At 36.6% G+C, this 14,724-nt stretch overlaps 2 annotated features.

Moving 5' to 3' along the window:
- Positions 1,649-1,838: a silencer, noted in NCBI's record as "fragment chr10:22339665-22339854 (GRCh37/hg19 assembly coordinates)". NCBI's record gives its function as "represses an EF-1alpha promoter that drives an FKBP-Casp9 reporter gene in an ReSE screen in K562 erythroleukemia cells {active_cell/tissue: K562}" and the evidence as "EXISTENCE:reporter gene assay evidence [ECO:0000049][PMID:32094911]".
- Positions 9,680-9,974: an enhancer, noted in NCBI's record as "tiled region #4688; HepG2 Activating non-DNase unmatched - State 20:ReprD, and K562 Activating DNase matched - State 5:Enh". NCBI's record gives its function as "activates a minimal TATA promoter and a strong SV40 promoter by Sharpr-MPRA in HepG2 cells, with weaker activation in K562 cells {active_cell/tissue: HepG2 | K562}" and the evidence as "EXISTENCE:reporter gene assay evidence [ECO:0000049][PMID:27701403]".

Genomic DNA, 14,724 nt, shown 5'->3' with positions numbered 1-14,724 from the left:
ATTATGTTAAAGCCTAGATTCGTGAATGACACAGGAGCTATTGCAAATATATTGGGAATTTCCTTTGGTTTAAAAAGTAAGCCCAGTTGTGAAGTTTCTACAGTTTTATGTATGTGGGTATAAATTTAAGTCAAAGTGAATACCATTGCCTTCATTTGGTGGGTTTTCAATTTAATTTAGTAAAATTTGGATTATAGTAGGAGTTTATAAAACCAAGAGTTTTTATTTTAAAAGGTAAAAATTCACAGGCAGTTAAATGGAAAAAATATAATCCTAAAGTTCATGATATTTTCAAAATCTATCACTGACAAAAAATTGAATATAATGATATTGATTTTCAGTTAAAATGAAAAGCATTTAGAGAAGAGGGATAAAGGAAGTCAATGTGTTAAAGGTAAATTTTCTTTAATATAACAGATGTGAATTCAAACTATACTATAAGACCTAAGTCATTTTTACTGAAGTAATGTCATCTAATACAGTTATTGAGCCTTCTACCATGAAGATGTATGTGTCCTAATTAGACTTAATACAATTTTACTGTTAGCTTTAATTGTGTATTTAATTATATTTCATTGTTAACATCTTTGCCCACCAATCCAATCCAGCTTTCTTATTATCAATCCATCACAAAGCCCTGCCAATTCCAATTTTGAAGTGTCTTTGTCTCTGCTACTAACATCACCTCTACCATCAGGCCTCACTCAGAGATTATTGGCACAGTCTCCAAATTGGTCTTCTTTTCTCCCACACTGGTCTCTGTCCCATCTTTTCTCCACATTGCAGACAGAAGCAGGGGTTCTCAAATGCACACACATGAAGATAAAGACATACTCTTTCTTGATGGTGGCTTACAGTGACCCTATGATCTGACCCTTACCTGCTGTCCCTGTCTCAGCTTGCAGAAGCTCCTGCTCAGTGTGTATTTTTCAGAACCTCACATGGTTCCAGTCGTTGGGCCTAAACATGCATTTAGGACCCTCTGCCCAGAATCTATCTTCTTCCCTCCTCTCTCTCTCTCTTTTTTTTTTTTTGACAGAGCCTAGCTCTGTCACCCAGGCTGGAGTGCAGTGGCACGATCTTGGCTCACTGCAACCTCTGCCTCCCAGGTTCAAACGATTCTCCTGCCTCAGCTTCCCAAGCAGCTGGGATTACAGGCACAAGCCACCATGCCGGGCTAATTTTTTTTTTTAATTTATTTTATTTTTTTTGTATTTTTGGTAGAGACAAGGATTTACCATTTTGGCCAGGCTGGCCTCAAACTCCTGACCTCAGGTGATCCACCCGCCTCAGTCTCTCAAAGTGCTGGGATTACAGGCCCTCCTTTCTTAACGGAATTAACTCCAAGATCCTCAGATCTCAACCCAAGGCCATTTCCTCCAAGAAGCCTACCCCTCCATCCTTCCTTGACTAGATCAAATGCCCCTTCTAAGTTAGTACTGCATGATCTCCTTTTTAGCTCTTGTCAGTTAAACTGCTTTCTTGGTTTCATAATTTTTTTTTTTAGCAAGACAGGATCTCACTTTGTTACCCAGGTTGGAGTATAGCGGCATGATAATAGCTCACTGTAACTTCAAATTCCTGGCCTCCTGGCCTCAAGCAATCCTCCCACCTCAGCCTCCCAAGTAGCCAGGACTACAAGCGTGCACCACTATGCCTGGCTATTTTTTAAACATTTTTTGTAGAAATGGAGCCTTGCTATGTTGACCAGGCTAGTTTTTGAACTGCTAGCCTCAAGTGATCCTCCCACCTTGCCCTCCCAAAGAGCTGAGATTACAGGCGTGAGCCACCACACCCACCTGGTAATTATTTGATTAACTAATGTCTCTCTCCCCTACTGAACTAAAAGTTAAATAAAAATAGGTATCACACCTGCTTTTGCTCACACTAAAGCCTAGAAGAGTATCTGGCACATAATTGGCACTCAGTAAGTATATGTTGTATAAATAACATGAAAATAGCAAAAAGTAAATATAAGTACATTTAGTATATGAATTGAAATATACATATGCAAAATTATTATGCCACAAATCCAACTATTTTAACAATTAAGAGAAAAATTACAAAACCCAGTTTTGGTGTTTGTTTGTCAAAACATTCAAAGAGTTCTTTTACTAAAATATATAGTTTTTCATGCCATCCATGACTATTAAATGATCCAACTATGTGTGTCAACCTCAAACTCCTATGACACCATTTCAACACTCCAAAGTTGTAAAATTTATTGGTTCATGACTCAAATTTAAAGTGACTCCAAATTTTAGCTTTGAGTTTTACAGCTTTTTTAAAAATAAAAAAAATACTGCAAAAAAAAACCCTTAAAATGGAACGTGTTTCTGATGGTAACTATAGTAGGAGAAATAGCACAAATTTAATAAAACATGGAGTCCTGTGTTCTATTTTAAGGTGCCTAGGTGGTTTCTCATAATTTACATTTTTACCTCAATAAATATTGGCATTTGTGAATTTTTCCTTGCCCGGACCATGTGCAAGTTTAAATGTGGTTAAAGATTTGGATAGTTAACTTTTATGGTCAGAAATATTTGATTCTAAATTTGTAATCCTTGGTGCCTTCAGGGAAAGAGACATGTGTGAAAAGTCTGGAATACAAAATTCCATTGCAACACGGAACAGAAATGGAATTAACTCCTTAATTTTCTATGCAATCTTTGAGGAGATTTCCCCCTTGCGCAGTGTACTATATGGCCACTAATAGCTTGACTTATTGAAATAGAAATATTTTGCCTGAGTCAGACATTAGCAATTGGATACTTTGATGATGTAAGTCAGTACTCTTAAAACAAATCATGCTAATGATTCAAGAGCACTTTGTGTTTCTTGCTTACAGCTTATCTGTATCATCTGAAAATAGTGCCTGGCATAGAGTAGGCATTTAATATTTGTTGACTGATAAAATGTATACGCACATCTAACTTCAAATATAAATACTTCTTTTTTGAAATTAATTCTTAATTCAGCTAATCTTAATGGCTGTGCAATGAGTACATCCATAGGTCTTGTCCTTTAGAGGCAATAGAAGCATATTTCGTTTGTATGGAAGAGTAATTCTTTCCAGTGGGTTTTTAATGTCTAAAAGGGCTGTGGGCCAGAATGAAATACAGTTACATGCAATTTAATTAATATTTAGTTTGTTCAGGCCTTTAAATTCAGCTTATAGATATTGATGTTTTATTTATAAATCTCATATTCATGTGTTCAAATACAAAATAATGGCTTTTACTTTTCCTTTGATTGACAGTTTCATTTCTGCTACTTATTTATTTATTACTCATTCTTTAAATACCAAAGATTCAAATAATGATATAGTTACAGCAGTCCCAAACCTTTTTGGTACCAGGGACCAGTTTTTGGGTAGGGGCTGGGAGGATGGTTTCAGGATGAAACTGTTCCACCTCAGATCATCAGGAATCAGTTAGATTCTCATAAGGAGCGCACAACCTAGATCCCTCACATGTGTAGTTCACCATAGGGTTCCCACTGCTATAAGAATCTAATCCCACCACTGATCCAACAGGAGGCAGAGAAAATGCAGTAATGCTCGCTGGCTCCCCATTCACCTGCCACTCACCTCCTGCTGTGTGGCCCTCTTCCTAACAGACCATGGACTGGACTGGCCCATGGCCCTGGGGTTGGGGAGCCCTGACATAATACATACCCACACCTACCATTGGCTTAAGGAATAAAGTATTACAAATGCTTTTGAAGTCCTAGACAACTCCTCCCAAAATGTATCTCCTACCCAACACACCACCACTATTCTGAATTATATTCTATAAACAATACAGTATATTGTTTTGCATGAAACTTTATATAAAGAGGTCATGTTATAGGATGAGCTCTCTAGAAGCAGATGCTAACGTTGAGTTTGGGATGTTTCTGTGGCTTGTCTTTTCACTCTTTTTTAAATACTGGAATTTAAATTTTTTACATTTTTATGTAGTCAAATTTATCACGTTTCCTTCATGGTTTGTATTTTTTGTATTTTCTTTTAAAAACCTCTGTCTAGGCCGGGCGCAGTGGCTCATGCCTATAATCCCAATACTTTGGGAGGCTGAGGCGGGTGGATCACCTGAGGTCAGGAGTTCGAGACCAGCCTGACCAACATGGAGAAATCTCGTTTCTACTAAAAGTGCAAAATTAGCCGGGCATGGTGGCACATGCCTGTAATCCCAGCTACTCAGGAGGCTGAGGCCGGAGAATCACTTGAACCTGGAGGCGGAGGTTGCAGTGAGCCGAGATTGCGCCATTGCACTCCAGCCTGGGTAACAAGAGTGAAACTCTGTCTCAAAAAAATACGAAAACTCTCTCTACCTAAGGGTCATAAAGGTATCCTCCTATATGTTAGATTCCATGTAACCTCTGTGATGGTTAATTTTATGTGTCAATTTGACTGGGCCATGGAGTGCCCAAATAGTTGGCCAAACATTTTTGTGGGTGTTTCTGTGAGGGTGTTTTTGGAGGATATTAACATTTAAATCCATGAACTTTGAGTAAAGCAGATTGCCTTTCCAATGAGGGTGGGCCTCATCTAATCAGTTGAAGGTCTGGATAGAACAAAGACCAATCCTCCCCCAAGAAAGAAAAAATTCTTCAGCTGATGGTCTTCAGACTCCAACTGCATCATTGGCTCTTCCTGCTTGACAGCCCTCAAATAGAAACGTTGGCTTTCCCTGGGGTCTCCCACATCATCACCCCATCTTGTAGATTTCAGACTTAGCCTCTATAATTGTGTGAGCCAATGCCTTATCATCTCTCTCTCCCACCAGATATGTATGTGTGTGTGTGTGGTGTGTATGCACTATCGGTTCTATTTCTCTGGAGATCCCTAACTAATACAATCCCCCTGGAAATAATTTTTGTATTACTATATGTATGGAAGATAAGAATTCAATATTACATTTGTACAATTGGAAAAAATCAAGTGTTTCATCACCACTCATTAAACAGTCCATTCTCGGCTCACTGGTCTGCAATGCTACCTCTGTCAAAATCAGTCCAGTGTAGGAAGAGTGTCTTAATTGATGCAGTTTTAAAATGAGTCTTGATATATGGTACAACAAGATCTCTAGTCGCTCCCGTTTTCTTCTGGTTATTTGGGGCCCTTTTCTCTTCTCTCATACAAATTTTATAATCTCCTTTTCGAGTCTACTAAAAGATGTGTCTTTTTTATTATAACTTTATTGTATTTTATTAATTGAGAGATAATTGACATTATTACTGAGTTTTCCTATTCCCAAATTTATTTAGGCCATAACATTCTTACACATCTGTTTTTAATATTTATTAATAAGTATATTTTTTGTATTTCGTTCAAAGATTCCATTTGTTGCCGGTATATAAAAATATCACTGATTTTTTTTTTAAAAAATAATTGACTTAAATAGAATAACCTTATTGAACTCACTTTTTAAGTCTAATAATTTGCCTGTTGATATTTCTTGGATTTTCTTTGTAGACATCTATGAATAATGTCAGGATTTGTTTGTTTGTTTTGTTTTACATTCTTTCCAATCTTTATACATTTTATTTATTTTTCTTGTCTTACCACAAAGGTTATTCCTGTCACCCAAGATGAAAGAGAAGCAATAATTGAAGCTATTCTTACCTCATACTTAATTTTAAAGGGAATTTTTCCTATGTCTTATCATTAAATATGATGTATGCTGTAGATTTTTTGCTATATACCTTTTAGTAGGTTAAGAATGTTTCTTTCTTCTGTACTAATTTACTGTCTTTTTAAATTTAAAATAATAGCTTTTATTTTATCAAATGCTTTTCCTGTGTCTATTGAGATAATATGGGTTTTTCACCTTTAATCTGTTAATATGGTACATTAATAAGTGTTATTTTTCTGCATCATTAACTTTTTTTTTACTGTTGAAAGATAATACCCTTAGAAAAAAGTGCATAGCTCCTATATGTATGATTTAAATAATAATTAGAAAACAAATACCTGAGCCAGATGTGGTGGCTCACCCCTGTAATCTCATCATTTTGGGAGGCTGATGCAGATAGATTGCCTGAACCTAAGTGTTTCAGATGAGGCTAGGCAATATAGTGAGACTCTATCTCTATTAAAACATAAAATAAAATAAAATAGGTAGGCACAGTGGCGTGTGCCTGTGGCCTGGCTATTTGGAAGGCTGAAGGGCTGAGGTGGGAGGATCACTTGAGCCTAGGACGTCAAGGCTGCAGTGAGCCATGATCACACCACGGCACTCCAATCTGGGTGACAGAGGGAGAGCCTGTCTCAGGAAAAAAAAAAAAAGGAAAACAAGCACCTGTGTAATTACTGGTCGGGTCAAGATTCAGAACAGTGTCTTAAGTTTAGAAGCTGCCTGTGAGCCATAACACCTGCCTCCTACTTCCATGTGCATCACTATCCTGACGCACGTGATGGCCAATTCCTTGCTTGTCTTTATGGTTTGCCACCTATGTATGAATCTGTAAACAACATAGTTTATTTTCACCTACTTTTGATTTCTTTTCATTTATGATTGTTGCATGAGGCTTTAGTTTGTTCATTTTCATTGCTTTTAAGGGCATTTTCTTTCATTCTTGTTTGCAAAATTTTTAAATAAATTACCAATGCATGCTGAATTTCATCAAACACTTTTGTATGTTTGCTGAGATGACCATATAAATTTTTCCTTTAATGTGGCGGAATTCATTAGTTGATTTTTCTCATGTCAAACCAGGTTTTCATTCCTGGAACAAATACAAGTTAGTTATTGTATATATTAGTTATCTATTGCTCCAAAACAAGTTACTCCAAAATGCAACAGCTTAAATAACAAGTATTTATTATCTCATGCAGCTTCTGTGGGTCAGGAATCCAGAAGGTCTCACGTAAGGTTTCAAGTCAAGATGTCAGCCATTGCTGCAGTTCCAAGCTCATCAACATGGCAGTTGGCAGGAGGCTTACACCTCATCATGTGGTCCTCTCAACAGGGCTGCTTATGACATGGCAATTGGTTTCCCCCAGAGTGAATGATCTGAGAGAGAAATTAATAAAGATAGAAGCCACCATGTCTTTAATAACCAAATCTCAGAAGTGACATACCATCATGTCTACTGTATTCTGTTGGTCACGTACCTAATAGAATGTGGGAGGGGATGACCCAGAGGTGGTGAACACTGGGGCCTATTTTAGAGACTGGCTACCACAGTCATATTGCTTTATACTTTTTATGTATTGCTAGATTCAGTTTGCTGATTTTTTTTACAATTTTTTATCTATATTCTTGAGTGACATTGACCTATAATTTTTCTCTCTTGCTATCAACTTTATGCTAACCTTATAAAATGAGACTAGCAGCATTATCTTTTTTTTACTCTCAGAGTTTGTGTATAATATGAGAATAGATCAGAATTATTTGTTCCTTGACTGCCAGAATTCAATGTGAAGCTATCGAAGCCTGAAATTTTCCTTAATTCAATACTTCAAATGTATTGAAAGGCCATTCTGATTTTAGCACCATTCTGTTTTTCTATTTCAATAGTTTGTGTAAATTGTGCTTTGCTAGAATATGTTCATTTCATCTGCATTTTCAAACTTACTGGCATAAAATTGTTCAAATGACTTTTTTTTTAATATTTCTGACTTTTTTAGTAACGTTCTCTTTTTCTTTTTTGATATTATTTATTTGTGTGTTTGTGCTATCACTCTTTTTTTTTTTTTTTTTGGTCTCACGAGAAGTTCGTTAATTTTATTAGGTGTTTTAGAGAATCACTCTGGCTTTATTGTCTCCATAGTGTATGGAAACTATTTAATTAGTTTCTGTTCTTATTTCTATCATGTCCTTCCTTCCACCTTCTTTGTTGCTTTGGGGTTTTGTTTTTGTTTGTTTGTTTGTTTTGCTATTCTTTTTCTATTTTCTTGAATTATTAATTTTTAATAATTAATTTTTAGCTTTTTTCTAATATATGCCTGTAATATACTTTTCCTTTAAATGTTGCTTTAGCTAAATCTCATAAGTTTTGTTAGGTAGTATTTTCATTATTGCTCAGTTCAAACTATTTTTTTAATACCACTGTAATTTCTTATTTAACCCTTGAGATACTTAGATGTGTATTTAATTAATTTCCAAACATATGAAGGTTTTCTTGATGTCTTTTTTTGGTACTGATGTTTAACTTGTATTTTGTTAAGAAATATGCTTATGATTATTTCATTTCTGTGACATTTGTTGACACCTGCTTTACAATCCAGTAAATGGTCAGTTTCTGTGAATGTGCTTATTACATGCAGTATTCAATATATGTTTATTAGATCAAGTTTATTAATCATGATGCTTAAATTATACATATTTTTAGGAATTATTTTCCCATTTGCTCTATCAATTACTGAGTGGCTATATTAAATGCCACATTATGAGTGTGGATTTGTCTATTTCTCTTCATCTGTCAATTGTTAAGGCTAAGTTATTAAGTGCATACAAATTTAAAATTACCAAAGCTACCAGTTGAAATGAACCTTTCATTATTATAAATTATTCCTGTTTATCTTGAGTAACAGAGTTTATCTTCGAGGCTCTTTATTCTAAAAGCAATTTGGTTATCTGGGCCCTCTAATTTTCCAATTATACTACAGGTGAATTCTCCCCTTCCTTCCTTATCAAGGCGCAAGTTGGCATCTTCCCTTCATAATAAGTTTCAGCTTATTATGTTACTTAGTAAAATCATGCTCATCTTTTTCTCCATTTCCCTAAATAATATTGAGCTCCACAGGCCTGATTTTTTGCTTTAAATTACAAGTAAAATTCCAGAGTTGGCTCTTAAAAAAGCAAATCTTCATAATTCACAAAAAGAATCTAAGAGACAGAGGAAGGAAATGTGCTTTCTCCTCTGCAGCTACAGAAGACTGACCGTCTTTGTGTCATAAAACAAGTCCAAAGAATCTGATTCGATGTGGCATTGAGACGTGTGAATATTTATAACTATACTCGCTAGTTCTGTTCTTTAGCCTTATAAATTTATCCTTGGAAGGAAAATATGAACAAAGGCTCTAGAAATCCTTGCCATTTCCTTAAAAGTAATCTCCAAAGAGCCCTGTGATTCTGATGAGTCGTCTTACTCAGTAGCCTGATGCTGTCTTCATGTCATGATTGACGTTTCTGTGTTCCTATATGTTATGAATACTCGTAAGATTGTTCTGTCAAAGCAGCAGAACATTGCTAGCATTTTTTTTCTACCCTCACCTGCATGATAAAAAGAATAAATGCGTGTAATTCTACTAGATGTCTTGTTTAACAGAGAGATTGATAGTCTTATCTCACTTGTGGCTGGGCTTGGGATAGTTCTGGGGTCTGTGTTCTGCCTGCACTAGAGTTTATTCCTCTAGATCGGGTGTACTTCTGTCTGTTCTGATACTTGAGGAAGGGGTGCTAGGGGAAGGGAAAGCCTCTATTTCCTGATTATGCCTCTAATTCAGGTGTTGCTAAACTTTGGCTACTGTCAGAAGCTGTTAGCCTTAAGGGAGTGTTTCCTGTCCACTCTTTATAACCAAAGCTTTTTTCCTCGCTAAGTAAGGGGAAAAGGAAAGGACAAAGGTAGGGCTTCTAGTTCAGGCTAAGGCACTATTTGTGTGGACAACGAAAGACTGGTTTCGTGTGGGACTTTCTATGCACCCAGTATGTTTCCAGCAGTTTTAATTGATTTTTTTCCCATTTTATTTTGTCAAGACTTTTCTTTTTAATGTTTAGGGATAGTTCATATTATACCTCAATTCTTCTCCTATCTTCCTCCCAGCAAGAGAAAAACAAACCGATGTGATTGGCACTGTGTGTGGATTTCGCTGAGTCACCACCACCCTGCCGTGAGGTGCGGATTTCCAGGGCAACTTTCTGTGTCTTTCCTTCTGGGCTGCCTATCCACACCCTGTCACCATCAGCTCTGCTCAACCCCAATGTGGAGGTGTTAACACAGAGGAGAATTTTGTCTCAACACCTTCCCCTTGCTTTTTTCTCTCTCTCACTCTTGCATATGCAAAATCTATCACAGGTCTAGTATTCCAGCACGTAGCAAGCATTCAATAAATCTTTGGTGAATGGGTGACTACAGAAATGATGAACACTATTTCTGAATAAGCAACTGAGGATTTGCCTATTAATTCCTACAACCCTCTGTGTCTGGCAACAGTTTTCCAAGTTCTTAGAGAAGTGTTTGCTCCTCTCTAGTTTGATAACTCTCTGTGTGTACATGCTATTTCTATATCTTATTCATTTATTGAGATGTGAGTGGGAGAAAAGTTCCATGATCTCATAATTTTTCTCTGGAAGTAAAATAATAAACATATACCTTTTATTATAATAAATTATAAAAGAAAATATGGATTGAAAATAATTTAGAACCTTTCTGGAGGGCAATTTGGCAGAATCTAGCCAACCTTTTTTTTGACCTAGTATTTTCACAGTAGGAATTTATCCAAAAGATATACAGGTGAAAAATGGCACAGGAATAGGGTAATTCATTGTAGTATTGTTTGTAATTGCAAAAGATCTGGAAAAAACCATGAATATCCATGAAAAGGAAATTTCTCAGATAAATCCTGATATATCTATACAACTGGATGATACACAGAAGTAAAAAAAAAAAGAGAGAGAGAGAGAGAGAAAGTCCTTTGTAGATTGATATGAAAAATCTCCAAGATTTATGGTTAAGTAAAAAATAATAAGTTGCACAACAGTGTGTATAGTATGCTATAGTTTCTGAAAAAAAGAAAAAGGGAAAACTACATGTATCTGTTTTTACATACACACATTAGCTCTGGAATGATTTGGAAAAATACATGAGAAATATACATTGCTTGTTTCCAGGTGGCAGAACTCCATGCCTAGGTGACTGGGTATGTTTTTTGTAACTTCGAATTTTTGAACCATGTGAATGTATTACCTAATCAAAATTGAAAAGATAGGAAAAAAAAGAAATACACCAAAATGTTAATTATCTTTTGTTGAGTAGCATCTGAGCAACCTTTATTCTCTTTTCATGTTGGTCAATATTTTCCTAACTTTCTACATGCTGTGCGTTACTTTTATAACAAGGAAAGAATTTTAAGAATAAAAATAATCATGCCTGATCATTTATTTACCAGTTGAGTCCCTTTTCCTATGTTCTAAGCATAATTTCTGCTGAGGAATGGAAAGAAAGATTGTGGATTTAAAAGATGTATGCTTGGCTGGGCACGACGGCTCATGCCTGTAATCCCAGCACTTTGGGAGGCCAAGGTGGGCGGATCACGAGATCAGGAGATTGAGACCATCCTGGCTAACATAGTGAAACCCTGCATGGTGGCACTTGCCTGTAGTCCCAGCTACTCCCAAGGCTAAGGCAGAAGAACCACTTGAACCCGGGAGGGAGGAGTTGCAGTGAGCCGAGATCGCGGCACTGCACTCTAGCCTGGTAGACTGGGTGACAGAATGAGACTCCGTCTCAAAAAAAAAAAAAAAAAGATGTATGCTCTTCTACCTTTCTTAACATTGCAAATTAAGAACAGAATACCATCTGTTTTATTTTCTCCCAGCTAAACAATCTAAATCATTCTAATTTTTTGCTTTACTATCTCTAAAGGTAGGTTACAACTATGTATGAAACACAGTACTAAGGCATCTTCACTTTCTTTGTGTCCTCACTTGCCTCAGATCTCCACTTTATTTTGACGAAGTTCTAGACCAAGGAATAATCTAAATATATTCACAATTTTTCCCTTGCACATTAAATCATATGATGATATGTTATTACACCCACATTTTAAAACTTTAAAATTTATGTGAATTTATCTTCTTAGCACTGGGCCATTGTGACTGATTAATATATTTTAATTAATGTGTTTTAATTTTAATTAATGTATTTTAATTATCCTCACATAATAAAATTTGACAAAAAATTATTGTTCTAAGTAACTTAAATCACTTATTTATACAGATACTCCATTTGGCATATGAAGTCTTTGAACTGTAGTTACAGAGGTGACAGTTTAGCCAAATGGCTAGGAGTCCTGCCTTCTTATTTATTTATTTTATTTATTTGTTTATTGGGGAGGGGTACGGGGGCTGGTAAGACAGGGTCTCACTGTGTCGCCCAAGCTGGTCTCAAACTTCTGGCTTCAAGCAATCCTCCCACCTCAACCTCCCAAAGTCCTGAGATTACAGGTGTGAGCCACCATGTCCAGTCTGAGTCCTGCCTTCTTAAGGGAGGCTATGGACAGGCTAGTCCAAGTGGACACATGTAGAAACTTCCTTCCCTCTGAGACCTTGAGAGAGATGAGGGTATAATGCCCAGTGTTGGCAGAGAATTCTGAGGTTCAGAACATCAACATGGTCTCGTCAGTGGTGGAATTACTGCCATAATTAGTAGAACAAGTTGTCTATGCTTGCTGAATGCCAACATGACTGGTGGTATAAAGGCAGCAAGCACACAGTTTGATGCACCTCCAACCAGGCAAATATCTCCTTCAGAGCTTGCCCAGCCCTTGGAGCCTCTAGCACGTCTCCACAAAAAATAAGGAAGGCGCCAGCTGCTACATCCGCTCGCCTGAACACTTATCTCAACATCTTCTGCACCTTGCCACTGGGGCAAACCTAAATAAAAGCTGCTCCAGACTAATCAAAGTCAAAATTCTCACCCATTGTCATCCCAGAACCAGACTGTGTCGTCTGGTCCAGCCCATTCTTAAGTTTAGAAGCCAGAAACCACACCCTGTGGAGTTAGATCATGAACGTGAATTCTAAAATCAGGCAGATCTGAGTTGAATTGGGATTCCCACCACTTACTCTTTTGGTGACCTGAAAAAATTACTTAATGTCTCTGAACCTCCGTGTTCTTTTCCATAAAATCGGAATAATAATGTTTACCTCATGATATAGTTGGGAAATTAAATGTATTTGTATAAAGTAGGACATCCTTCTTAATAGTCAGTATTTCATTAGTTACTTTCCTACCTGGTGGTTAAATTGTAGAGCAGTGTGAATCCTAGAATTAAAAAAACTAAACATATATATTTTATTTAAAGTATTTTTCGTACTTGAACCTGAATAGTGATAACGTTTAGCTGATTGCCACCAATTCTACAACTTTACTTTCAGTTCTGTCTCTTTCTTTCACAAATTATTTTTCTAATGTTTATTGCTCTGTTTTTAGAAGTTTAAAAAAAGAATACATAGAGAACACCTTTTAGTTTCTAAATATAATATTACACTGGCAACCCTTTTTAAAACTGAGTTTGGAGTTGTATTTATTTTCACATTTTCCGAAAATACTCTTCTATTGTGATGTAAAACAAACAAACAAAAATTCAAACCCCAGTTATCTCTTCCTGTAATCAGGTAAATAAAATAGGCTTCTGAGCGACATACAAAAACATACTAAAATATTAATAGGACTGTTTTTCAGATCTGGTTCTTCAAAAGCTAACTAAGGTCAGTTTCCCTGGGAAACAGACTGAAATGGAGATTTACGTACAGTCATTTGTTGAGGAGGGCCCTGGGCCCCAACACCTGTGGGAAAAGTGAAGGAAATAGGATTGGGCTGTGGGAGAAGCAGAGATGTGGTACAACCCCACAGGCAGCTCTGGAGCTGGGAGGGCCCTTTAGAGTTCTCCTGACTTGAGTTAGTCAGTATGGTTCCACCTTGTCAAGTCCTCCTCCTCTATAGGCTGTTCCAGGAAGGAAGGTAGACGGCTCAGCTGAGGGCAATTCCCAGAGAGGATGCCACTGAGAGCTGGGGAGTGGTGGGGATGGTAGGGGTGCCTGACTATTGACCACAACATCCACTGCATGCTTAAAATATATTCAGACTTTCTTAAACTCATATTTTAGGTGTGTATTGCAAACTAATGTCTACGGAAGAGTTAACAGCAACAACCAAATTCAAGGCAGAGTACTTTTTAAAATCGTCAAGAAGAAAATGAAAAGAGAATAAAATACTTGTTCATTGGCATGGAAACAGCCTTGCAGTGAGCAACATAATTGTTTACCATGCCAATTATTTATAAAACAAGAATATTTCCAAATATACATAGCCCTCTTACTATTGTGCTGGTTTTATTAGTGTATGTCTTGAATATTTAACATTAGAATTACATAACTCGCCACTCCCTAATGCCCCAGAAGAGAAGCATAGATTTGATACACATAGCTTCATGTCCAAGGATTATTCATGTAGAATCTCCGACAGTCAAAAGACATGAGGCTTTCAGTGACTGGTGAGGTATTCCATGGTCCAAGAGAGATGAACTTGGGCTAAACCCTCTTGAGGGAATGTATCACTTTCTTAAATTCATACTAAAGAAAAGCAAGGAGGAAAAGCAAGGGGTGGGGGAAGCAGGAATGAAAATCTCTTTTCAATGGAATGTCAATTAATAAATGCAGAAGGAATCACAGAGTTAGAAAACCTACCATTTTGCAACCATCATGGTAATTATTTGTGAAAAAAAGTCCATCAATGGATGCTAAAGCTATTGGTTGGTAGTTTAAGGGGAGCAGGATTTTTACATAATCTCAAAGTATCTCCTTAGAGATTATTAACTACAGAGAAGAACACAGGAACCACAGGGAAGAAATCTGGTAGTCTCCACCTTAACTGAATTTGATTCACCTTAACATCACCAATAATGGGAACCAGGTTTATTTGTGATGCACCAAAAATTATGTCATCATTAATGTAAAATTCCTATCAAAATGTATAATCTTCCATTTAAACATG

This window comes from Homo sapiens, chromosome 10, assembly GCF_000001405.40.
Source record: "Homo sapiens chromosome 10, GRCh38.p14 Primary Assembly".
NCBI lineage: Eukaryota > Metazoa > Chordata > Mammalia > Primates > Hominidae > Homo > Homo sapiens.
The sequence above is the reverse complement of the archived record's forward strand: the minus strand, read 5'-3'. Positions and strand labels throughout refer to the sequence as shown.